Source organism: Homo sapiens, chromosome 14 (assembly GCF_000001405.40).
Source record: "Homo sapiens chromosome 14, GRCh38.p14 Primary Assembly".
In the NCBI taxonomy this organism is placed as follows: Eukaryota; Metazoa; Chordata; class Mammalia; order Primates; family Hominidae; genus Homo; species Homo sapiens.
The window spans coordinates 73174646-73200762 of NC_000014.9; the positions used below are offsets into that span (position 1 = coordinate 73174646).

Genomic DNA, 26117 nt, shown 5'->3' on the forward strand with positions numbered 1-26117 from the left:
TACGGTATAACTAAAATCAGATTTTTATATTGGAGTACAGAACAATAAAGCCATCTTCAGATGCTGGTATTAAACTCACTGGTGACTGGTCACACCTTGCCTAAACTGGTAGCCACCATGCATCCTCTCACCATCTCCACTGTACTACTTCCTTCCTTGGGAAGTCGGGCGCTGGGAGGTTGTACAGGAAAGATACAGACCCACCCTTCTCAGCCTCTCCTCCCCTAGCTCGCTCTTTTGCCAAAGTGACCTACTGCTGAGTTTCAAAGTGACCTACTGCTGAGTTTCAGCCAACTAGCACGTTTCAGATTCATACCTTAGAAAAAATTACACATTATCACAAGTCATGCACCTTTTAAGGTCATTTTCAAATAATAGAAATTATAAGTGTTCGGCCAGGCATGGTGGCTCATGCCTGTAATCCCAGCACTTTGGGAGGCCAAGGCAGGAGGATTGCTTGAGGTCAGGAGTTTTTTTTGTTTTTTTGTTTTTTTCCCCGAGACGAAGTCTCGCTCTTGTCCCGCAGGCTGGAGTGTGACAGCGCGATCTTGGCTCACTGCAAGCTGTGCCTCCTGGGTTCAAGCGATTCTTCTGCCTCAGCCCCCCGAGTAGCTGGGATTACAGGCGCCTGCCACCACACCCGGCTAATTTTTGTATTTTTAGTAGAGACTGGGTTTTACCGTGTTGGCCAGGCTGGTCTAGAACTCCTGACCTCAGGTGATCCACCCACCTCGGCCTCGCAAGGGCTGGGATTACAGGCGTGAGCCACCATACCTGGCCGAGGTCAGGGGTTTGAGACCAGCCTGAGCAACATAGTAAGACCTATCTCTACCAAAAAAAAAAAAAATTAACTTTCCAAATGTAGGAGTCTACTCTGTTTCCTTCTAGTATTTATTTCTGTATACTTTTCTAACATGGTTAAAATGTGTAATCAATATGTGTCCTTTTACTTTGGTGTGAACATTTTTTCTATTATAAATTCTTAGAAAATATTTCTATGGCTATGAGATATTTGATTCAAGTGCCTTGTAATTTACTTCTCAAATGTCCCTGATGTTGGACATTTGTTTCTAGTGTTTCACTATTTTAAAAAACAGTAATATCTGTCTTTATGCTTAGAGCTTTTTCAGTTTTTCAAATTATTTCCTTAGGGTAAAATCCTAGAAGTAGAATTTTTGGGGCAAATTATCTACATATTTATAACTGTCTTGGTATTCAAAATCTCGTTTTCAAAAAGCTTATATCAATTTGTACTTAACACCAGTAGTGAATGAGAGTATCTGTCGTACCCCACCAGTGCTGAATTTCTTTTTTAAAACTGTGCTGGTTTTTATAGGTAAAGAAAATGTCTTAATTTGCATTTAGTTGGTTACTAGTAATATCACATACCTTTTCAATGCTTGTGAACTTTAAGCTTATACAGAGTTTAACCTTGCATGTTGAACATTTGAGTGAGTGGAAGTGTTAAGTGATGGCCATCTGTATAATCTATTAGTAATGTATGGAGACCATTAAAGATGACAGGTATGTGTGATGATGACAGGTTGTTACCAACACTCAGAAGGCCAAAAAGCAAGTGATATAAACCCATGCTGGGAAGCATTCACCTCCCCCACTTTAAAAATGCTAGTTTCTTAATTCCTTTTCTTTATCCCTTTTTTTGTCTGCACGTGTTTACTTGCCTTTAGTTTCCCTGCTTTAGTAGGCTGACCTTGTGACTTTTACCAGGATCCCATTATACTTTTGTTCTTCTGTTTATTTCTCAGATTTTATTGGAGGGTGGAATTCTACTTTTTCTTTCTTATAATCTAGAATTTACATTCAGATTTCCTGCCTTTCCCTTACAAAATACCTGTGTAGTTGGATAGGTGGAGCTCTGGACTCAGAGTTCTTTCTTCTAGTAATCTTAGGAAATTATTTAATTTTTCTGTGTTTTCATATTTTCACACATAAAAGAGAAAACACCATTTCTAAACTACCTCTTCTTTTCTCTGCTTTTAAGCATGTAAAGGTTTTCCCAATCTTGGGCAGTGACATGTACAGGACAGTATAGCTTTACATCTGCCTTGTTTTAATTAAACACTAGTTCTTTGAGGTAACCCCTACTATTATCCCAGTTTTATGGATGAGGCACTGAGGCAGGGGTCACACAGCTAGTGTGGGTCAGAACCTAATGGGTCAGAATGGACATTTGAGTCCAGAGTTTGGCCTGGATTGACACACATAGCTATTACGTAAGATTCCTCTCAAATTCAGTCCTCAGCTCCCTGAAGTGTGGGTTCTCTTTTCATGCCTCCATGGAAACTGCGTATCATGTGGTTACCAGTTTTTCCTTTGGTCGTATCTGCTGACCTTTTTGAACCTAATTTTTTCTGGACCTTATTGCCATTTGACTTATTTATTGCCTCCCACTTGACACTGATTCTGGCTTTTGCTTTTCTTCCTACTTTGGTCCTTTTTGCAGTTTTCTAAAGCTAACCAGCCATGACTCTCAGATGATGGACTTTTTCGTCTCTCCCATTACTTCTTGGGAAATTATATTTTAATCTCATGGTTTAAATTTTCATCCTTAAATATAACTTTTAATGTAGTATTTTTAGCCCAGAAGGGCCCATGGTTGGTTTGTTTTCTCCTTTGCATATCTCTTCTACTCAGATACCTGGTAGCATATAAATCAAATGAATTATCCTTCATACCATTTCATTATCATCAGTAGGACTGCTTTGCTGGGGTTTTTTTGTGTGTGTGTTTTTGTTTTTGTTTTTGTTTTTGTTTTGAGATAAAGTCTTGCTTTGTCACCTAGGCAAGAGTGCTAGGATTACAGGCGTGAGCCGCTATGCCAGGACAGCCGTTTTCTTCTAGTATTATTTGCCCTCTGTCTGAACATCTTCCTTTAGTAATGCTTTTAGAGCAAGGCAGCTGGCCTCAATTTGTTTTAATTTTTCTTCCCCTTAGGATGTTTTAATTTTACCTTTATTACTGAAGGATATTGTTACTGGGCAGAAAATTGTCTTGATATTCCCCTTTTCAGCATTTAAAAAATGCTCTTCTGCTTTCTTTCAGCCTCCATGGTTTCTCATAAAAATCAGTCATTCGAATCACTGTTCTTCTAAAAGTAATACATTGTTTTGTTCTGGTCACTTTCAAAATTTTCTTTTTCTTTTCAGCAGTTTAATTATGGGACTGTGTGAGGATTTCTTTGTTCATTCTGTTTGGAGTTCACTGAGCTTTTTGAATCTCTAGGTTTATGTCTTTTACCAAATTTGGAAAATTTTTCAACCATTATTTCTTCAAAATTTTTCTGTACCACATTCTTTACTCTTTTTTTTTTTGAAACAGAGTGGCGCACTGCAACCTCTGCCTTCCCGGTTCAAGTGATTCTCCTGCCTCAGCCTCCCAAAGTGCTGGGATTACGGGTGCCTGCCACCATGCCTGGCTGATTTTGTTAATTTTTAGTAGAGACGGGGTTTTACCACATTGACCAGGCTGGTCTTGAACTCCTGGCCTTAAGTATTCCGCCTGCCTGGGCCTCCCAAAGTGCTGGGTTACAGGTGTGAGCCACCACACCCGGCCCTTTTTTTTTTTTTTTTTTGAGACCGAGTCTCGCTTTGTCACCCAGGCTGGAGTGCAGTGATGTGATTTTGGCTCACTGCAGCCTCAGCCTCCCAAGTACCTGGGATTACAGAGATGTGCCACCATGCCCAGCTAATTTTTGTATTTTTATTAGAGATGGGGTTTCACCATGTTGGCCAGGCTGGTCTTAAACCCCTGGCCTCAAGTGATCCGTCTGCCTCAGCCTCCCAAAGTGCTGGGATTACAGACGTGAGCCACCATGCCTGGCTCTTTACCCTCTTCTGGGAGTGACAACACAAATAACTTTTTATTCCACAGGTTTCTGAGGCTCTGTTTATTTTCCAATTTTTTTCACTATTGTTCTGGTTAGATAATTTCTATTGATCTGTCTTCAAGTTTCCTGAAATTTGCATTTTGTTGGTAAACCTATTCAGTAAAATGTTTTTGGTTATTTTATTTTTAGTTCTAAAATTCCTATATAGCCCGTCTTTACATTTTTTTATTCTGAAACTTAAAACTTTCCTTTCATTTTAAGAGTGTTTGCCCTTACTTCTTGGAGCATTTTTATGCTCCAAGGATTTTGATATTTTTGTTTTATTGGCCAATTGATCTGATTGGGCTAGGTCCAGCCAGCCTTGTCAAAGCCTTTGCAGTGTTGCTCAGATCTGCCCCATGTATATGCCACCCAGTCACCAGTCTGGGACTGGTATAGTGGTGTTCTATTTGTAATTCGGTTGTCAGGGTCGGTGTGTACTGTTGAGGATCATATCCATACTCACTCACCTTGGGAATGGACCCACAAGTTTATAAACAGCTTTAAGAGATTGCTTTCATGAGTTTCTTTCTTTCTGTGATCTCCATGTGGTTTCTTGGGCTTCCCTTTTCCATTCCTGCAGCCAAAAGTGGACTTTATCTTCCTAAAGTCAGGGCCAAAATGTGGGAGGAGAGAGAGAAATAAAGCAAGGGCTATTTGCCCCACTCTCTCGGGACTGACATTCTTCCAGTCAGAGTAAGGATTCCCTCCCTCTGAATTTTAGGCTTCTGCCACCCACATTACCATCACCACAGGATTGTGTGAGGACTGGGCATACGAGAATGGAGAAAAGCGGAAAAGAATGCCGGGTGTGGTGGCTCACGCCTGTAATCCTAACACTTTGGGAGGCCAAGGCGGGCAGATTGCCTGAGCTCATGAGTTTATGACCAGCCTGGGCAACACAGTGAAAACCTGTCTCTACTAAAATACAAAAAATTAGCCAGGCATGGTGGTGGGCACCTGTAGTTCCAGTTACTCAGGAGGCTGAGGCAGGAGTATTGCTTGAACCCGGGAGGCAGAGGTTGCAGTGAGCCAAGATCGTGCCACTGCACTCCAGCCTGAGCTACAGTGCGAGACTCTGTCTCCAAAAAAAAGGAAGAAAAACTGGATTTTTACACTGTCTGGGTGTTAGGAGACCTCTTTCCTGATCCTCAAGCCAGAACTAGAGGTCTTCTGGAGCTCCCATTGTCTTGCTAATGCCCACTCATGTTGTAATGAGCACAGGTGGAGGAAAAAAAGTGGTCAGCTCACTGCTAGTACTTCTAATTCCCCAGCCCACCTACCTCTCATTACTTTTCATCTTTTGCAACCAGCTGCTGCCTGCTTTCTGCCCAGGTTTTGTAACTGTATTCAGTGGGATAGAGAGAGTGGAAGGTACTTACTCCATCTTATCTGGAACCTTTCTTAATATATTTTTTGTCGCATTTGTACATCTTTTATCCATCCTTCATTTTATTTTATTTTTTTTTTTGAGACGGAGTCTCAGTCTCTCGCCCAGGCTGGAGTGTAGTGGCATGATCTTGGCTCACTGCAACCTCCGCCTCCTGGGTTCAAGTGATTCTCCTGCCTCAGCCTCCCAAGTAGTTGGGATTACTGGGACACGCCACCATGCCTGGGTAATTTTTGCATTTTTAGTAGAGATGAGGGTTCCCCATGTTGCCCAGGCTGGTCTCGAACTTCTGACCTCAGGTGATCCACTGGTTTCGGCCTCCCAAAGTGCTGGGACTACAGGCCTGAGCCACCACGCCCAGCCTTATCCTTCATTTTAGACAGTTTAAGAGGTTTGTATTCAGCCAGATCTCCACATTTACTTGTTCATTTGTGTTGTGATGTTTTTTAATGTTCAAGTCTTAGCACACACAAACAATTATATAGAAACAAGTTGTTTACTTTGACACCCAGTATAACTAAAAGGATCTTTTGAGTCAGAGATTGAGTAACTTGCCAGAGCCTGTTTGGAAATAAACCCTGAGGATTTTTCATATCAGTGGTTGGTTATGCAATGTCTGTGGCAAGCCCTAGAAACTAAAAGACCAAACCTTAAAATGTTAAAAACAGGAAAGGCAGTTAATTATTATACATAATTTGTTATAAAAGGAACTATAACTTATTAAAGTCAGATGATTTCTGGCCTTGATAGTTTAGGGTTTAGAGAAGATACTGTTGTGTACTATAAAACAGCAGGGCTGTTTTCTTTCATACCCTTTAGCACAGGAAAGCTGAACTAGGGATTTTTGCAAGATGAGAAAGGCCTGTTGAAATGTGTGTGTATAACATAGTAATAAAAGAAATGCATATGAAAATAACAAATTAACATATTTGACATATTGACTTTGTCAAGATTAGTCTTTTTTGTCAAGTAACTAAGCCAGTGTGTATTAATTAAATCAGTAATTAGAAAAAGTTTGTACACTTTGATTTAGTAATTTTGCTTTTATGATATATTCTAAAGAAGGAATTAGAAATGCAGAAAAATATTTGTGAAGTAGGATGTTCATTTTAATGTAAATTAAAATTGGGGAAAGAAAGGGAAAACAATACAGATTCCATGCATAAGGCAAAGGTTCAATTGTGGGTTTATCCGTATGAGTAGACTATTATTTTGTCATTTAAAAATCATAGTTTCAGCTGGGCGTGGTGGCTCACGCATGTAATCCCAGCACTTTAGGAGGCTGAGGTGGGCGGATCACCTGAGGTCAGAAGATCGAGACCAGCCTGACCAACATGGAGAAATCCTGTCTCTACTAAAAATACAAAAAAATTAGCTGGGCGTGGTGGCGAGTGCCTGTAATCCCAGCTACTCAGGAGGCTGAGGCAGGAGAATCGCTTGAATCTGGGGAGTGGAGGTTGCGGTGAGATTGCGCCATTGCCCTCCAGCCTGGGCAACAAGAGCAAAACTCCATCTCAAAATCAATCAATCAATCAGTCAATCAATCATAGTTTCACGCCAGGTGCAGTGGCACGGACCTGTAGACCCAGTTACTTGGGACCCTGAGACGAGATGATTGCTTGAGCCCAGGTTTTCCAGTCTAGCCTGGGAAACATAGTGAGACCCCAGTCTCTTAAAAAAAAATCATATTTTCAAATAATATTTGGTGGCATGAGAATATGTTTGTAATAAAAGATTACATTTGTGAAAGCAGAATGTAAACAGTACACTAGTTGATTCTCACTGTTAAGGTCTTTACACACGCCTATACGTGCAGATAGAAAACATGTCTGAAAGGGAAACGGTTTTATTTTGTTTCGTATTTTTTTTTGAGACAATGTCTCACTTTGTCAGTCAGGCTGGAATGTAGTGGCACTGTCTCGGCTCACTGCACCCTATACCTCCTGGGTTCAAGCAATCCTCCCACCTCAACCTCCATGGTAGCTGGGACTACAGGCACCTGCCACCACGCCTAGCTAATGTTCGTATTTTTAGTAGAGACGGGGTTTTGGCATGTTGGTCAGGCTGGTCTTGAACTCCTGACCTCAGGCAATCCACCTGTCTCAGCCTCCCAAACTGCTGGGATAACAGGCGTGAGCCACTGTGCCTGGCCTGAAAGGGAAATGTTGGTATTAATTTTGGTTGTCACTGGCCTTTAGAATAGTTTTCTTCTTTTAGTGTTTCTGTGTTTCTTAAGTGTTACAAGCATATGTTACTTTTGATTCAGAAAAATGCTATTTTTAAAATAAGCAAGACTGGGCACGGTGACTCTCACCAGTATGGCTGAGACCAGAGGATCACTTGAAGCCAGGAGTTCAAAACCAGCTTGGGCAACAGAGTGAGACCCCCACCTCTACAAAAAGAAAAAAAAAAAATTAAAAAATTAGCCAGGCATGGTGGTGTACCCACGCCTATAGTCCTAGGTACTAGGGAGGCTGAGGTGGGAGTATGGCTTGAGCCCAGTGGTTCGAGATTGCAGTGAGCTACGATCATGCCACTGTACCCCAGCCTGGGCAACACAGTGAGGCCCTATCTCAAAAAATAATTAAAAAAAAAATATTTGGGGGCTCCTAGAAGGTACAGTTAAAAAAATTAAAATTAGGCCGGGCATGGTGGCTCACGCCTATAATCCCAGCACTGTGGGAGGCTAAGGAGGGTGGATCACTTGAGATCAGGAGTTCAAGACCAGCTTGGCCAACATGGTGAAACTTCATCTCTAATACAAAAATCACCTGGGCGTTGGTGGTGGGTGCCTGTAATCCCAGCTACTCGGGAGGCTAAGGCAGGAGAATTGCTTGAATCTGGGAGGTGGAGGTTGCAGTGAGCCAAGACCATGCTACTGCACTCCAGCCTGGGCGACAAAGTGAGGCTTCATCTCCCAAAAATAAATAAATAAAATTAAAAAAAGAAATAAATAAGAACATCTCCTTCTTCCTTTGCCAAAAAACCGAGGTGAAAAGCATCTCTCAAGAATGATGAGAATTTCAATTATTTAATATTTACTCTGGTCCTTAATTTAAAGCTTAATATGGAATCCCAGTGTACATCTCCCACTGGTATTGTTTGTCTTGGCCAAGACAGACAAGTTTTAAAGAGTGAGATAAAATTTAGGCTAAAGTTGAAGTATTTGGAGGGAAATGTACAGATGTTCTCAGCTTACCTTTTTTGTTTTTTTGAGATGGAGTCTCGCTCTGTTGCTCAGGCTGGAGTGCAATGGTGCGATCTCAGCTCTCCACAACCTCCGCCTCTCAGGTTGAAGTGATTCTCCTGCCTCAGCCTCCCAAATAGCTGGGACTGCAGGTGTGTGCCACTATGTCTGGCTAATTTTTGTATTTTTTTTTTTTAATTTATTTTTTATTGATAATTCTTGGGTGTTTCTCACAGAGGGGGATTTGGCAGGGTCATAGGACAATAGTGGAGGGAAGGTCAGTAGATAAACAAGTGAACAAAGGTCTCTGGTTTTCCTAGGCAGAGGACCCTGCGGCCTTCCGCAGTGTTTGTGTCCCTGGGTACTTGAGATTAGGGAGTGGTGATGACTCTTAACGAGCATGCTGCCTTCAAGCATCTGTTTAACAAAACACATCTTGCACCGCCCTTAATCCATTCAACCCTGAGTGGACACAGCACATGTTTCAGAGAGCACAGGGTTGGGGGTAAGGTCACAGATCAACAGGATCCCAAGGCAGAAGAAGTTTTCTTAGTACAGAACAAAATGAAAAGTCTCCCATGTCTACTTCTTTCTACACAGACACGGCAACCATCCGATTTCTCAATCTTTTCCCCACCTTTCCCGCCTTTCTATTCCACAAAGCCGCCATTGTCATCCTGGCCCGTTCTCAATGAGCTGTTGGGCACACCTCCCAGACGGGGTGGTGGCCGGGCAGAGGGGCTCCTCACTTCCCAGTAGGGGCGGCCGGGCAGAGGTGCCCCTCACCTCCCGGGCGGGGCGGCTGGCCGGGCGGGGGGCTGACCCCCCCACCTCCCTCCCGGACGGGGCGGCTGGCCGGGCAGAGGGGCTCCTCACTTCCCAGTAGGAGCGGCCGGGCAGAGGCGCCCCTCACCTCCCGGACGGGGCGGCTGGCCAGGCGGGGGGCTGATCCCCCCACCTCCCTCCCAGACGGGGCGGCTGGCCGGGCGGGGGGCTGACCCCCCCCCACCTCCCTCCCGGACAGGGCGGCTGGCCGGCCGGGGGGCTGACCCCCCCACCTCCCTCCCGGACGGGGCGGCTGGCCGGGCGGGGGGCTGACCCCCCCACCTCCCTCCCGGACGGGGCGGCTGGCCGGGCGGGGGGCTGACCCCCCCACCTCCCTCCCGGACGGGGCGGCTGGCCGGGCGGGGGGCTGACCCCCCCACCTCCCTCCCGGACGGGGCGGCTGGCCGGGCAGAGGCGCCCCTCACCTCCCGGACGGGGCGGCTGGCCGGGCGGGGGGCTGACCCCCCCACCTCCCTCTCCGACGGGGCGGCTGGCCTGGCAGAGGGGCTCCTCACTTCCCAGTAGGGGCGGCCGGGCAGAGGCGCCCCTCACCTCCCGGACGGGGCGGCTGGCCGGGCGGGGGGCTGACCCCCCCACCTCCCTCTCGGACAGGGCGGCTGGCCTGGCAGAGGGGCTCCTCACTTCCCAGTAGGGGCGGCCGGGCAGAGGCGCCCCTCACCTCCCGGACGGGGCGGCTGGCCGGGCGGGGGGCTGACCCCCCCACCTCCCTCCCGGACGGAGCGGCTGGCGGGGCGGGGGGCTGACCCCCCCACCTCCCTCCCGGATGGGGCGGCTGGCCTGGCGGGGGGCTGACCCCCCCCACCTCCCTCCCGGACGGGGTGGCTGCCGGGCGGAGACGCTCCTCACTTCCCAGACGGGGCGGCTGCCGGGCGGAGGGGCTCCTCACTTCCCAGACGGGGCGGCTGCCGGGCGGAGGGGCTCCTCACTTCTCAGACGGGGCGGCCGGGCAGAGATGCTCCTCACCTCCCAGACGGGGTCGCGGCCGGGCAGAGGTGCTCCTCACATCCCAGACGGGGCGGCGGGGCAGAGGCGCTCCCCACATCTCAGACGATGGGCGGCCGGGCAGAGACGCTCCTCACTTCCTAGATGTGATGGCAGCCGGGCAGAGGTGCTCCTCACTTCCTAGGTGGGATGGCGGCCGGGCGGAGACGCTCCTCACTTTCCAGACTGGGCAGCCAGGCAGAGGGGCTCCTCACATCCCAGATGATGGGCGGCCAGGCAGAGACGCTCCTCACTTCCCAGACGGGGTGGCGGCCGGGCAGAGGCTACAATCTCGGCACTTTGGGAGGCCAAGGCAGGCGGCTGGGAGGTGGAGGTTGTAGCGAGCCGAGATCACGCCACTGCACTCCAGCCTGGGCACCATTGAGCACTGAGTGAACGAGACTCCGTCTGCAATCCCGGCACCTCGGGAGGCCGAGGCTGGTGGATCACTTGCGGTTAGGGGCTGGAGACCGGCCTGGCCAACACAGCGAAACCCCGTCTCCACCAAAACCAGTCAGGCGTGGCGGCGTGAGTCTGCAATCGCAGGCACTCGGCAGGCTGAGTCAGGAGAATCAGGCAGGGAGGTTGCAGTGAGCCGAGATGGCAGCAGTACAGTCCAGCTTCGGCTCAGCATGAGAGGGAGACCGTGGAAAGAGAGGGAGAGGGAGACCGTGGGGAGAGAGAGGGAGAGGGAGAGGGAGAGCGCTTAAAACAATTTTTAAGATGTATTTCTTTTCTCATAGTTCCAGAGGCCAGAAGTCCCAAGTCAAGGGTTGGAAGCAATTTTTGTATTTTTAGTAGAGATGGGGTTCACCATATTGGCCAGGCTGGTCTTGAACTCCTGGCCTCATGATCCGCCTGCCGTGGCCTCCCAAAGTGCTGGGATTACAGGCATGAGTCACTGCGCCCGATCTCTCAGTTTACTTTGATATGTATTAATAATAACAAAGACTAATGGATGAGGAGCTAGACAGAAATTTTATAAACCAAGTACTGCAAAATATGAATGGTAGACTCTAGGTGATATATGGGTGTTCACTGTAAAATTAATTAAATTTTGCTGTGTGTTCGAACATTTTTGTAACAAAATGTTGGAAAATTTTTGTGGAAGAACACCAGAAACAACTTTGTTGTATCTGGATATAATTTAGAATATTCAAATGTTGGCTAGGTGCGGTGGCAACCTGTAATCCTAGCACTTTGGGAGGCCAAGGCAGGTGGATCACCTCAGGTCGGGAGTTCGAGACCAGCCTGACCAACATGGAGAAACTGTGTCTCTACTAAAAATACAGAATTAGCCAGGTGTGGTGGCACATGTCTGTAATCCCAGCTACTTGGGGGGCTGAGGCAGGAGAATTGCTTGAACCCTGGAGGCGGAGGTTGCGGTGAGCCGAGATTGCGCCATTGCACTCCATTCTGGGCAACAAGAGCGAAACTCCGTCTCAGAAAAAAAAAAAGAATATTCAAATGTCCAAGGAGTACCAATATCTAGGTAAAGCCATTCTGTTGGCCTTTGCCAAATTGTACTATTTTATAAAGTTGTTTTAAAGAGAGATGTGGGCCGGGCATAGTGGTGCACATCTGTAATCTCAGCACTTTGGGAGTCTGAGGCGGGCGGATCACTTGAGGTCAGGAATTTGAGACCAGCCTGGGCAACATGGCGAAACCCTGTCTCTACTAAAAATACAAAAATTAGCCTAGCGTGGTGGCGCGCACGCGTGGTTCCACCTACTCAGGAGGCTTAAGCACGAGAATTGCTTGAACCCAGGAGGCAGAGGTTGTGGTGAGCTGAGATCGTGCCACTGCACTCCAGTCTGGGCGACAAAGTGAGACCCTGTCTCAAAAAAGAAAAAAAAAATCTGTACTTTTTAAGGGTTGTGGGACCTGTTAATTATATTGAAATGCTTTCTTTTCTAGGTCATCCATGCCTGGCTTATTATATCATCTCTATTGTTGCTGTTCTTTTTTTCATTCATTTACTTGGGGTAAGTTGTGAAATTTTTGGTCTGTCTTTCAGAATTAACTACCTTTGTGCTGTGTAGCTATCATTTAAAGCCATGTACTTTGTTGATGAATTACTCTGAAGTTTTAATTGTTTCCACATATAGGTCATACTTGGTATATAAAAGACTAGTCAGTATTACTAATTGAGACATTCTTCTGTTGCTCCTTGCTTATAATAAGTAGAACTGAAAGAACTTAAGACTACAGTTAATTCTAAGCCTTTTTGAAGATTATATAGTCTTCTAGTAGAAGTCTGTGCATCAGAATGTTTTAAGAAAGGGTTTTAAGAATGTATAAAAACCAAAATAATTGATTTTCATACTTCTATATTGTTTTTTATCAGTGACTCTTTTTTCTTTCAAATGAAATCTTATATGAAATTTTCATATATAATATAGAAAAAAGTGGATCTAGTCTGTCAAAGAGAATAGTGAAGCTCAGAGATGTGCCAGCCTGGCCTTTTTCTCAGCTCAAGTGGCAGAATACAGTTTGTAAACAATTGCACTAGCTCTTAAATTCGAAGAGGCAGTCAAACTAATAAATAAATTGGAGAGTTATTTCTTTGGTAGAGGATTAAGGGAAATAACCACAGACAGAAGAAGCAAATATGAGAATCTATGTGAAATGGATGATATTCTAGAAAAAAAATTATCAAAACTGACCCCTAAAGAGAGAATATCTAAACAGAGTAAAGAAGAGGTACAGAAAGTTACTGAAGAAGTTTCCACCCCACCTGCACAAATAACAATAGTACCAGGCCCCAGTGGATTAATGGGGAAATTCTGTTAAACCTTTAAGGAATGGTAACTCTAATACTAAGTGTTCCGAACATATAAAAAGAAAAAAAGCTTCCAGATTAATTTTATGAAGCCAGCATAACATTAATAACTAAAGCCCTGCAAGTTATCAAGTAAAAGAAAACTATTGGTCGGTTATATTTATTGATTTCAAAAGCATAACAGAATATTAAGAGAATTCAGCAATAGATGAAAAGAATAATACTTTTTTTTTTTGAGTCTCACGCTGTTGCCCAGGCTGGAGTGCAGTGGCATGATCTCGGCTCACTGCAACCCCCACCTCCTGGATTCAAGCGATTCTCCTGCCTCAGCCCCCTGAGTAACCGGGACTACAGGTGCGCACCACCATGCCCAGCTAATTTTTGCATTTTTAGTAGAGACAGAGTTTCACCATGTTGGCCAGGATGGTCTCGATCTCCTGACCTCGTGATCCGCCCGCCTTGGCCTCCCAAAGTGCTGGAATTAACAGGCCTGAGCCACCGCACCCTGCCATAATAATACATTTGACCAAGTGGAGTTTGTTTGCAGAATCGTTCATTATAAGTTGCCATATTACTAGATCATCATCTCTGTATGTGCTAAAAGGCATTTGATAAGATTCCTGTTCTTGATCAGATTCCTTAATAAATAGACGGGGTCGGGTGTGGTGGCTCATGTTTATAATCTCAATACTCTGGGAGGCTAAGGTAGGAGGATAGCTTGAGGTTGAAAGTTGGATACCAACCTGCGCAACATAACAAGACTTTGCCTCTACAAAAAATAAATTAGCCAGTTGTGGTGTGTGCATGTAGTTCTAGCTGCATGGGAGACTAAGGCGGGAGGATGGCTTCAGCCCAGGAATTCAAGGCTGCAGTGAGCTATGATTGCACCACTGCACCCCAGGCTGGGTGACTCAGTCTCTAAAAATAAATAAATAACTAAATCTCTAACATTATAAAATGTATGCATCTCATTCTAAAGGCCAATGTCATCCTCATAGGGAAGCTAGAAGCTTGCCTATTAAGGTCAGGAATGAGATGGAGGTTTTCTTTTCTTTCTTTTGTTTGTTTGTTTTTTGTTTTGTTTTTTCTGAGATAGAGTCTCACTCTGTCATCCAGGCTGGAGTGCAATGGTGTGATCTCGGCTCACAGGAACTTCTGCCTCCTGGGTTCAAGCGATTCTCCTGCATCAAGGCCTCCCAAGTAGCTGGGATTACAGGCACCTGCCACTATGCCCGGCTAATTTTTGCATTTTTAGTAGAGCAGGGGTTTCACCATGTTGGCCAGGCTGTTCTCAAACTCTTGACCTCAGGTGATCCACCTGCCTCCGCCTCCCAAAATGCTGGGATTACAGGCGTGAGCCACTGTGCCTGGCTGAGATGAAGGTTTTCTTTATCACCAATTATCTAGCATTGCTCTGGAGGGACTAGCAAACACAATTAAACAGGAGAAAGAAATACGAACTATATAATTTGGAAAAGAAGGTTAAATTACCAATATTTGGAGATAAAATGATTGTTTACTTTGTTTTAGAACTAACTGAAAACCAATTCAAATTACTAAGTAAGTTTGGTAAGGCAATTAATTGATTACAAAATTAAACAAAAGTCCCCTGTCTGGGTGCCGTGGCTCATGCCTGTAATCCCAGCACTTTGGGAGGCCGAGGCGGGTGGTTCACCTGAGGTTAGGAGTTTGAGACCAGCCTGGCCAACGTGGTGAAAACCCACCTCTACTAAAAATACAAAAAATTAGCCGGGCGTGGTGGTGGGTGCCTGTAATTCCAGCTACTCTGGAGGCTGAGGCAGGAGAGTGGCGTGAACCTGGGAGATGGAGGTTGCTGTGAGCCGAGATCGCACCATTGCACTCCCACCTGGGCAACAAGAGTGAAACTCCATTTCAAAAAAATAAAGTGAAAACACAAATCAATAACCTTCACATAAACAACTAGTTAGAAAACATAATAAAAGGATAAGTCCCATTTATGATAGCAGCAAAAAAGATTAAATATCTACGAGTAAACAAGAATTGTGCAAGCCCTGGACACTGGTGAAGCAGAGATGCCAGCTGAGGTCCTGCCCCCAGCTCCCCTTAAGCTGAGCAGTGTGGAGAACATCTTGCACAGGCTGCTGACTGCCTTCCAAGAAGCCCTTGACCTTTACCATGTGTTGGTCTCCCTTGACCGGGTGGGCACTGAGCAGTAGCAGGTGTAGACTGAGCTGGCCTCTAACTTCCTTTGGATCCACAGCCAGTTGTAGGCCAACAACGGGGTGGAGGGGTCTGATGTGGCTCCAGGCCCTCTCCAGCTCAGGTTACCCCTCCTTATGTACATTGTACTCAGAGCTGCTAGTGCAGGCTGTGCAGAGGAAGGCAGGGGACACTGAGGTCCAGCAGTCCCTGCTCCTGCTTCTGAAGAAATAGATATTTTAAGTGAATAAACTGACAGCTTAGAGGGGTAAAAAAGATAATATGCAAGATCTATTGAGAATTTTAAGGCTGGGTGTGGTGGCTCACACTTGTAATCTCACCTATTTGGGAGGCCGAGGTGGGAGGATCCTTTGAGCCCAGGGGTTCTAGACCATCCTGGGCAACATGGTTGAAACTCCATCTCTACAAAAAATACAAAACTTAGCCAGGCGTGGTGGTGCATGCCTGTAGCCCCAGCTGCTTGGGAGGCTGAGTCAGGAGGATCACTTGAGCCAAGGACTTTGGGGCTGCAGTGAACTGTGGTTGTGCCCTCTATCCAGGGTGACAGTCAGACCTTGTCTCTATTTAAAAAAAAAAAAAAAAAAAATTAAAATATGCTATCATTTGTGTCAAGTAGAAAAGTATATATATGACATGTATAGACTTTCTGGAAGGATGTACATGAAATTAATAGTAGTGCTTTCCAATCAGGCACGGTGGCTCACACCTGTAATCTCAACATTTTTGGAGGTGGAGACAGGAGGACTGCTTGAGCCTAGGAGTTCATAGCCAGCCTGGGCAACATAGCAAGACCCCATCTCAAGAAAAAGTAGTGCTTTCCTCTAAAGAGGGGAACCATGGGGCACAGTGGGGAGAAAACCTACTTTTCACAGTATCTGTTGTGAATTTTATATCTTATTCATGTGTTACCTGGCCAAAGATTAATAAATAGATTGTTTTTGTTTTTGTTTTTTAGTTTGAGGATACTGGAAATGCTTAATATAAATATCTACATCGTCCAGAAATTTCAATGTTTACTCTATTTTGGAATTTCAAAGTGGGAGAGGAATCATCTTTTTGGATGGTACCTGAAACTGAAAGTTTATGCCTAAAGGCGTGCTTGCTTTCTCCTCAGTTACCTCAGGCATCTTCTACAGTTGCAATCTCTTTGTTGTTAGATGGTGGATTTTGCCTCCCCAGAATTAAAATAGCATTTTCTTCATTATAAAAATACTTAACATTCATTGTTTTTTTAAAAAAGACATTATATAAGATTATAAAGAAGAAAAATGACCAGATTCCCACCACCTAAAGATAAGTCCTGTCATCCTTTCAGGAATTAATATATCAATTTCTCATCTACTCTTCTCTCACACTACTTTGCATAAATGGGATCATAAATGGGATCCTATATTTTTTCAAGCAACAGTGTGTTATGCCTATACTCCATGTTTATATGTGTGTATTAAAAAATGTATTTGTATATATGTGTATGTATAAGTGTGTGTGTGTGTATGATGATTCTTCTCCCGCTTTGAAGGTGAAAGAAAGCACACCTTTATTTAAGCATAAACTTTGGGTTTCAGATACTGTCTGGAAAAATGATTTATCTCCCACTTTGAAATTCCAAAATACGTACATATATTTTTTTTTTCTTTTCTTTTTTAGTTTTAGGGTCTTGCTGTGTTGCCCAGGCTGGAGTGCAGTAGTGTGATCATAGCTCACACAGCCTCTAACTCCCAGGCTCAAGCTATCTTCCTGCCCCAGCCTCCTGAGTAGCTGGGACTGCAGGCATGTGCCATCAACTTTAGCTAATTTTAAAATTTTTTTGTAGTGATAGAGTCTCACTGTGTTGCCCAGGCTCGTCTGGAATTCCTGGCCTCAAGTGATCCTCTCACCTCAGCCTCCCAAATTGCTGGGATTAGAGTGTGAGCCACTGTGCCTAGCCTGCATATATCTATTTTTAATGACTGCTAAATCTCATTGTATGAAAATTTATGTCCTAGCTATAAAATTTGTTAGCACATGTTTAATTTTTTCTAATTTCAGATGTTTTAAACTAATATTTCCCAAAGTATAGTATGGCATTTTAGGTATGATATGATCTTTTTTCCTCTTCGTACTCATTTTTATAGTTATGGCCTGTGCAACTGGTTTCCCATTTATATGAATGATACAGAGCTTCCTATTAAGAAAAAGTTCAGCTTGGGAAAAAAAAAGTGAATTGTTCAACTTGAGGGAAAAAAGTGAATTAATTGGCCAGGCACCGTGGCTCATGCTTGTAATCCCAGCACTTTGGGAGGCTGAGACGGGTGGATTGCTTGAACCCAGGAGTTTTAGACCAACCTGGGCAACATGTTGAAACCCTATCTGTACAAAAAAAATTAGAAAAATTAGCTGGGCATAGTGGCACACACCTGTTGTCCCAGCTACTTAGGAGGCTGAGCTGGGAAGACCACCTGATCTCCGGAGGTAAAGACTGCAGTGAGCCGTGATTGCACCACTTTACTCCAGCCTGGGCAACAAAATGAGACCCTGGCTCAAAAACAAAAACAAAAACAAAAAAAGAGTAAATTAATTTAAAGGGAAGTATTAAATAAATAATAGCACAGTTGATATAGGTTATGGTAAAATTATAAAGGTGGGATATTAATATCTAATGTTTGGGAGCCATCACATTATTCTAAATAATGTTTTGGTGAAAATTATTGTACATCTTTTAAAATCTGTGTAATTTTTTTTCAGGGAAGTGTTTAAAACCTATAACGTTGCTGTGGACTACATTACTGTTGCACTCCTGATCTGGAATTTTGGTGTGGTGGGAATGATTTCCATTCACTGGAAAGGTCCACTTCGACTCCAGCAGGCATATCTCATTATGATTAGTGCCCTCATGGCCCTGGTGTTTATCAAGTACCTCCCTGAATGGACTGCGTGGCTCATCTTGGCTGTGATTTCAGTATATGGTAAAACCCAAGACTGATAATTTGTTTGTCACAGGAATGCCCCACTGGAGTGTTTTCTTTCCTCATCTCTTTATCTTGATTTAGAGAAAATGGTAACGTGTACATCCCATAACTCTTCAGTAAATCATTAATTAGCTATAGTAACTTTTTCATTTGAAGATTTCGGCTGGGCATGGTAGCTCATGCCTGTAATCTTAGCACTTTGGGAGGCTGAGGCGGGCAGATCACCTAAGCCCAGAGTTCAAGACCAGCCTGGGCAACATGGCAAAACCTCGTATCTACAGAAAATACAAAAATTAGCCGGGCATGGTGGTGCACACCTGTAGTTCCAGCTACTTAGGAGGCTGAGGTGGGAGGATCGATTGAGCCCAGGAGGTCAAGGCTGCAGTGAGCCATGATTGCATCACTGTATTCCAGCCTGGGTGATAGAACAAGACCTTGTCTCAAAAAAAATTTGGTTTTTCAAGCTTTTTGAGGTTTTGACAAGCTGGCCAATATGGTGAAACCCCGTCTCTACTAAAAATACAAAAATTAGCTGGGTGTGGTGGCGTACCCTTGTATTCCCAGCTACTTGAGAGGCTGAGGCAGGAGAATTATTTGAACCCAGGAAGTGAAGTGGAGGTTGCAGTGAGCCGAGATGGTGCCACTGCACTCTAGCCTGGGTGACAGAGCGAGACTCTGTCTCAAAAAAAAAAAAAAAGCAAAAAAAAAAAAGCACAAGCAGAGTGGTAGACACACAAAATGCTCAATTCATTTTTTAAACGATTTTTTTCCTTTATATCTTACTGCAGAAGCTTTTTTCTTTTTTTTGAGACAAAGTCTTGCTGTGTCACCCAGGCTGGGGTGCAGTGGCACAGTCATAGCTCACTGCAACCTTGAACTCCCTGGCTCATGCGATCCTCCCACTTCAGCCTCTCAAGTAGCTAGAACTACAGGTGTGCACCACCATGCCTGACTAACTTGTTTATTTTTTGTAGAGAGAACGTCTTGCTATATTGCCTAGGCTGGTCTTGAACTCTTGGGCTCAAGCAATCCTCCTACCTTGGCCTCTCAAGGTATTGGGATTATAGGTGTGAGCCACTGCATCTGGCCTCAATTCACTTTTAAAATCAAAATTAGGTTACCTACTTTTTATAAGGTAATGTATAGAATTATTCTTTTAAAAATAAAACCGATTTGGACAGTGTGAGATTCACATTCTGTAACCACCAGTGTGACATGGGTCCTGAACAGTTAGAACATACTCCAGCCATTAACCCAGGCAGCTTTCAGGTACGTACTCTGTGGCTGTTGCCTTGTATGAAAGCCAAAAAGAGATCCATTTTCAGAGATTAATATGTGACCCCTTCTATATTATAAGGCCATGGCCATACTCTTTTTTTTTTCTTTTTGTTTTTTTCTTCCAAAGACAGGATCTCTCTCTGTCATCCACGCTAGAGTACAGTGGCATGAACGTGGCTTACTGCAGCCTCAAACCCTTGTCCTGGGCTCAAACAATCCTCCCACCTCAGCCTTCAAAGTAGATAGAACTACAGGCATGCACTACCATGCCTAATTTTTTAAAAAAAAATTTTTTTTCAGAGATGAGATCTCACTGTGTTTCCCAGGCTTGTCCGGAACTCCTGGCCTCAAGCGATCCTCCCACCTTGGCCTGCCAAAGTGTTGGGATTACAGGCATGAGCCACCATGCCTGGCCATACACTTTTTTTTTTTTTTTTTTTCAAGACGGAGTCTGGCTCTGTCGCCCAGACTGGAGTGCAGTGGCGTGATCTTGGCTCACTGCAAGCTTCGCCTCCCAGGTTCATGCCGTTCTCCTGCCTCAGCCTCCCAAGTAGCTGGGACTACAGGCATCTGCCACCACGCCCGGCTATTTTTTTGTATTTGTAGTAGAGACGGGGTTTCACCATGTTAGCCAGGATGATCTCGATCTCCTGACCTCATGATTCACCTGCCTCGGCCTCCCAAAGTGTTGGGATTACAGGCATGAGCCACCGTGCCCGGCCTGGCCATACACTTTTGTCATTATTTACATACTTACTAAAATGTTTGGTGGCCTGTAATAGGAAACATCATCCTCATTTGATTGACGAAGAAGTCTGTGGAAATAGGATTGAACTGGTTCTGTTCTTGTATTTGAGTAATCAGTTGTGGAACTATAGAAGTCATATACTCTCTCTGACTTTCATAATTACCTTATGTTGTATAGTACTTGATGGTTTGCAAAGTAACCATCTATTCTTGCTTAGCTGTGAGTAAGAATGCCAGGTCTGGAGACAGAATGTCTGGGTTCAAATTCTACTCATCACTTTTTATTTTTATTTTTTTTGAGATAGAGTCTCGCTTTGTTGCCCAGGCTGGAGTGCAGTGGCGTGATCTCAGCTCACTACAACCTCTCCCTCCCGGGATCAAGCGATTCTCCTGCCTCAGCCTTCCGAGTAGCTGGGACTACAAGTGCGCACCACCACGCCCAGCTAATTTTTGTATTTTTAGTAGAGACGAGGTTTTGCCATGTTGGCCAGGCTGGTCTCAAACTCCTGACCTCAAGTGATCTGCCTGCCTCAGCCTCCCAGAGTGCTGGGATTACAGGCTTGAACCACTGCGCCCAGCCTACTCATCACTTACTAGCTATTTGACCACACAAGTTACTCAACTCCTATGTCAGTTATGAAGATTAAATTAAATGATCCATTTAATACAATAATACACTTAGAACAATGTCTATCAGTAAATTTTTTTCTGTTTTAAGAAACAGGATCTCACTCTGTCTCCCAGGCTGGAGTGAAGTGGCACGATTATAGCTCACTGTAGCTTCAAAAGCCTGGGCTCAAGCAGTCCTCCTGTCTCAGCCTCCCGAGTAGATAAGACTACAGGCACAGGTTGGTGTTGACCTCCTAGCTTCAAGCAGCCTCCCAAAGTGCTGAGATTACAGGTGTGAGCCACTATACCCAGCCCAGTGTTATATTTTTGTATAATCCTATGAAGTATCAAGGCAGTTATTATCCCTGTTTTACTGCTAAGAAACTTGAAGTTTACAGAGGTAAATTATTTGCCTAAGCCTAAACTCTGATCTCGAATCTGAATCCCAAGTCCAATATTCTTTTCACCGTATTACAATATTTTTACCATCAACCCTCCATTCTGTCTGCACATCATACAAATGAGTATCTCTACAGAGCTTTGAGTTGCTTTTAAACAAAAGAGATTTTTGTACCCAATGTTTAGAGTAGTGATTCTCGGCTCCATTTTTACAAGATTTCAAGATTTAATTTGTCAAAAAAGTTCTGAAATTTTCAAAGCAAAAGCAATTTTAATTTAATTGCTCTAAAAAATAAGCAGATTTATCATTTAGCAATTCTTTAAGGGAGAGTGTATCATAAAACTGAAATAGTACTGAATGTGGCAGAATCAAACAAGTTGAAAATCTCATCACTTCAGAGCAGGGCAGACTTCTCATTCAAACAAATTGAGGTAGAAGTGGTGAGAGTAGAGATTTCTTTGTGTATGTGTGTTTTATTACTGTACTATATTATATTATAGTTCTATATATACTATATTATATTGTACATATATATTATTATATGAAGAGACATGACCACTTTGAGGCATGAAATTTTTTTTTTTTTTTTTTTTTTTTTGAGGCACGGTCTTACTTTGTCACCTAGGCAGTGGCGCCATCTTGGCTCACTGCAGCCTCCACCTCCAGGGCTCAAGCAATCCTCCCACCTCAGCTTCCTGAGTAGCTGGGACTATAGGCACCTGCCACCATGAGCTGCTAATTTTTTGTATTTTTGGTAGAGACGGGGTTTTGCCATCTTGGCCAGGCTGGTCTCAAACTCCTGAGCACAAGTGATCTGCTGCCTCAGCCTCCCCAAAGTGCTGGAATTACAAGCATAAGCCACTGTGCCTGGCAAGACATGAAATTTTTAAATGTAAATGCATTTAAGTGACAATAATGTGAATACAAGTTATCAATTCTTCCTTTACAAGTTTAGCTATACCTGTTTTATATTTTTCAGTGTTTAAAATTATTTTTATATTTTTATATTCTGAATTTTCTTTCTTTCTTTCTTTTTTTTTTTTTTTTTTGAGACGGAGTCTCGCTGTATTGCCCAGGCTGGAGTGCAGTGGCGCAATCTCGGCGCACTGCAAGCTCCGCTTCCCGGGTTCACGCCGTTCTCCTGCCTCAGCCTCCCGAGTAGCTGGGACTACAGGCACGCGCCACCACACCCAGCTAATTTTTTGTATTTTTTAGTAGAGACAGGGTTTCACCGTGTTAGCCAGGATGGTCTTGATCTCCTGACCTTGTGATCCGCCCACCTCGGCCTCCCAAAGTGCTGGGATTGCAGGCGTGAGCCACTGCGCCCGGCCTATATGCTGAATTTTCATGACAGAGAATGAAAGAAAAAGTGCAGTTGATCGAAAGAAATGGTGGTATAAACAGGAATAACAGGCATGTTGTTTCCTCTCTGATTTATTATTTTTGTAAAATAAGCTACTTTTCAGCACCACATACATATGTTCTGAGACCTGAATATTTGTGACCAAAGAGTAAAGAAGTAATAAACTTTATCTCGCAAAGAGTTATTATTGTGTTTTATTTAAATTTACTGCCCTCTTACTTCAAGTACTTCTCAGTAGTACGTAATACTGCTTTTAAAAAGGAGAAGGGATGAATTTCTTCTACTCTGCTCTTCATATTTTGAAAAGTTCAGTCAAATCCCCTTTATTAAATTCATCTCAGAGTAATCTTTTTAATTTGTAGTTCATATCCGTGATTAGTTTAGAAGTGACTTCTCCCTGTTTCTGCTCACTGTAGGTTGACAACTGCTTAAAATAGTCTATCTCATCATTATCTCTGCAGCTTTCCTTTAAACTAGGAAGACTTGTTCCTATACCCCAGTAACGATACACTGTACACTAAGCAAATAGCAGTCAAACCCAAATGAAATTTTTACAGATGTTCTGTGTCATTTTATTTTGTTTATGTTGTCTCCCCCACCCCCACCAGTTCACCTGCCATTTATTTCATATTCATTCAACGTCTTTTTGTGTAAAAAGAGACAAAAAACATTAAACTTTTTTCCTTCGTTAATTCCTCCCTACCACCCATTTACAAGTTTAGCCCATACATTTTATTAGATGTCTTTTATGTTTTTCTTTTTCTAGATTTAGTGGCTGTTTTGTGTCCGAAAGGTCCACTTCGTATGCTGGTTGAAACAGCTCAGGAGAGAAATGAAACGCTTTTTCCAGCTCTCATTTACTCCTGTAAGTATTTGAGAAGGATATTGAATTAGTAATCAGTGTAGAATTTATCGGAACTGAAGCACATGTAACTATGGTCATTTTCATGGTACTTGTTCTCATCTTAAATGCACAGCATTCCTGGAACTCCTGCAGATCTCTTTGTTTCCTTGCAAGCAATTGTCTTCTACCTGATGTTGATTCAAGAGAGTTTTCAATATGAATAGAAAGAAAGAAAATGTTTAGATATTGGGGAACCAGCATTCCCATTTTAAAACCTGTTAGGAGTTGTTGATTAGGGCAAGCTCAAGGATTCCTTTGAGTGACTGGTTTAGATGTCTTTCTGCTATTCGGTGACCACTGGGGAACTGAGATTGTTGAGCAGAAGGGTAATGTGAGCAGAGCCGTGCCTTTGTAAGCTGGCAGCACTGTGTGAGATGAATTGGTGGGTTGGATACTGAGATCATGAGAGGCATACTAAGCATAATTAAGATGATATTGCCATGATCTAGGTGGAAAGTAATGGGGGTTTGAATTATGGTAGTGGCAGTAGCAATCAAGGGAAAGAGTTGATCAGAGGATTCAGAGGTAGAATCAATAGTTCTAGCAACTGAGGAGAGAAGTTGTAAGCTTGAAGGAAAGGTGATGAAGAAAAAATGCTTTCCTGTGTTTTCTTGTTGTTGTTGTTGAGATAGGGTCTCACTCCCATCCAGGATGGAGTACAGTAGTGTGATCATGGCTCACTGCAGCCTCGACCTCCCAGGCTCAGGTGATCCACCCACCTCAGCCTCCCGAGTAGCTGTGACTACAGGCACGCACTACCAGGCCTGGCTAATTTTTTTGTGTTGTGTGTAGAGACTGGGTTTTGCCATGTGCCCAGGCTGGTCTTGAACTCCTCGGCTTAAGCGATCCTCCTGCCTTGACTTCACAAAGTGCTTGAGTTACAGGTGTGAGCTACCACGCCTGGCCATGTTTTCTTGTGTGAAGGATCTGTTTAGTTTTATATCTTTCTGTGGCTCATATCTAATTTAGTTGACAGTACCTGTGGGTCACTAGGTAGACATTGCTAGCAGACGTTTAGAAATGAAATACTAGAGCTTGGGAAAAAGTTGATATTTGAGATAGAGACTTGAAGAACATTAGCAGAGAGTTGGTAGTTAAGGTCTGTGAGCTGGTGAGCAATTCAAATAAAAGCAGAAGAGAAGAGGAAGACAAGGGTCAAACTTTGTCAACTACTGTGTTTAGAGAATGAGACAAGAGAGGATACTACAGGAAGTAGAGGAAAATAGTGGAAAATTGGGCAAGCCAGTATTTTTCACTTAAGAATATCATTACTGTTTTTTGATGTCAGCACATGAAATGGCTGCATAGTGTTCTCTTACGTAGATATTCAGTGGTGGGTATCCTCATTGATAGACATTTAGATCATTTCCATTTATTTTCTATCACAGACAGCACTTACAGAGTGCATCCATGAACTTATGAATATTATTATAAAATGTATTCTTACAGTAGAATTGCTAAGTCAAAGGATGTATTTAAATTTTGATAGTTTGCCATATTGCCTCCTAAAAAAGCTGTGCCTGTTTACATTCCCTTCAGTAATATGAAAGTATCAATTTCCTTACCCCTTTGGTGTTTTGGTTTGTTTTGTTTTGGAGACTGAGTCTCGCTCTGTCATGCAGGCTGGAGTGCAGTGGTGCGATCTCGGCTCACTGCAACCTCCGCCTCCTGGGTTCAAGCAGTTCTCCTGCCTCAGCCTCCGGAGTGGCTGGGATTACAGGCGTGTGCCACCACACCCAGCTAATTTTTTGTATTTTTAGTGGAGACACGGTTTCACCATGTTGACCAGGCTGGTCTCGAACTCCTGACTTCAGGTGATCCGCCTGCCTAGGCCTCCCAAAATGCCAGGATTATAGCTGTGAGCCACCATGCCCGGCCACTGCTTTGTTAATGCTTGCCTGTGTCTGTGCATACATGCATGTGTGTGTGTCTGAGAGAGAAAGAGATCTAATAGGCAAAAAAATAACATCTTGTTTTATTTTTTATTGTTTGTCTAATGCTTTGGGTGATTATTTGAACTTTTTTTCATGTGTTTCTTAGTTACAGATCTGAATTTATTTTGTAACTGGCTTGGTATAATCTTTTTCATATTTGTGAAATTAATCTTTTTTGTGTGTGTGTGAGACAGTCTCTCTCTGTCACCCAAGCTGGAGTACAGTGGCGCAATCTCAACTCACTGCAACCTCCATCTCCCAGGTTCAAGCAATTCTCCTCTCTCAGCCTCCCAAGTAGCTGGAATTACAGGCGCATGCCACCACGCCTGGCTGATTTTTGTATTTTTAGTAGAGACGGGATTTCACCACGTTGGCCAGGCTGGTCTCAAGTGATCCAACTGCCTCAGACTCCCAAAGCATTAGTATTACAGGTGTGAGCCACTGCTCCCAGCCCTGTAAAATTAATCTTAATTATACAAGTAATTCATTATCCTTGAAAAAGGATAAACATTACAGATAAAAATAAATTTCACGGTAACTATCATCTCTAATCTTAATGCCTTATCAAGTACTTACCCCTGTTGTCAGTTTGTTGTATATCCTTGTAGATTTTTTTTGCCAATTTTTCTGTTGAGTTACTGGAAAAGCAGTTTCAAGAAG

The 26117-nt window shown here is 43.7% G+C and overlaps 1 protein-coding gene across 10 annotated transcripts in view, besides 1 other annotated feature; it reads left to right on the plus strand.

The window, feature by feature from the left end:
* Positions 1-26117, plus strand: part of PSEN1 (presenilin 1) — an 87275-nt gene that overhangs the window by 38229 nt on the left and 22929 nt on the right. For all 10 annotated transcript variants that reach the window (XM_047431602.1, XM_047431601.1, XM_047431600.1 and 7 more), the window contains exons 6-8: positions 12208-12275; positions 17999-18219; positions 23386-23484. In XM_047431602.1, the coding sequence (XP_047287558.1) occupies positions 12208-12275; positions 17999-18219; positions 23386-23484 (388 nt within the window). The remainder of the gene's footprint in view (positions 1-12207; positions 12276-17998; positions 18220-23385; positions 23485-26117) is intronic.
* Positions 10497-11115: an enhancer, noted in NCBI's record as "H3K27ac-H3K4me1 hESC enhancer chr14:73651850-73652468 (GRCh37/hg19 assembly coordinates)". NCBI's record gives its function as "activates a minimal SCP1, AML or CMV promoter by ChIP-STARR-seq in primed H9 embryonic stem cells {active_cell/tissue: H9 hESC(primed)}" and the evidence as "EXISTENCE:reporter gene assay evidence [ECO:0000049][PMID:30033119]".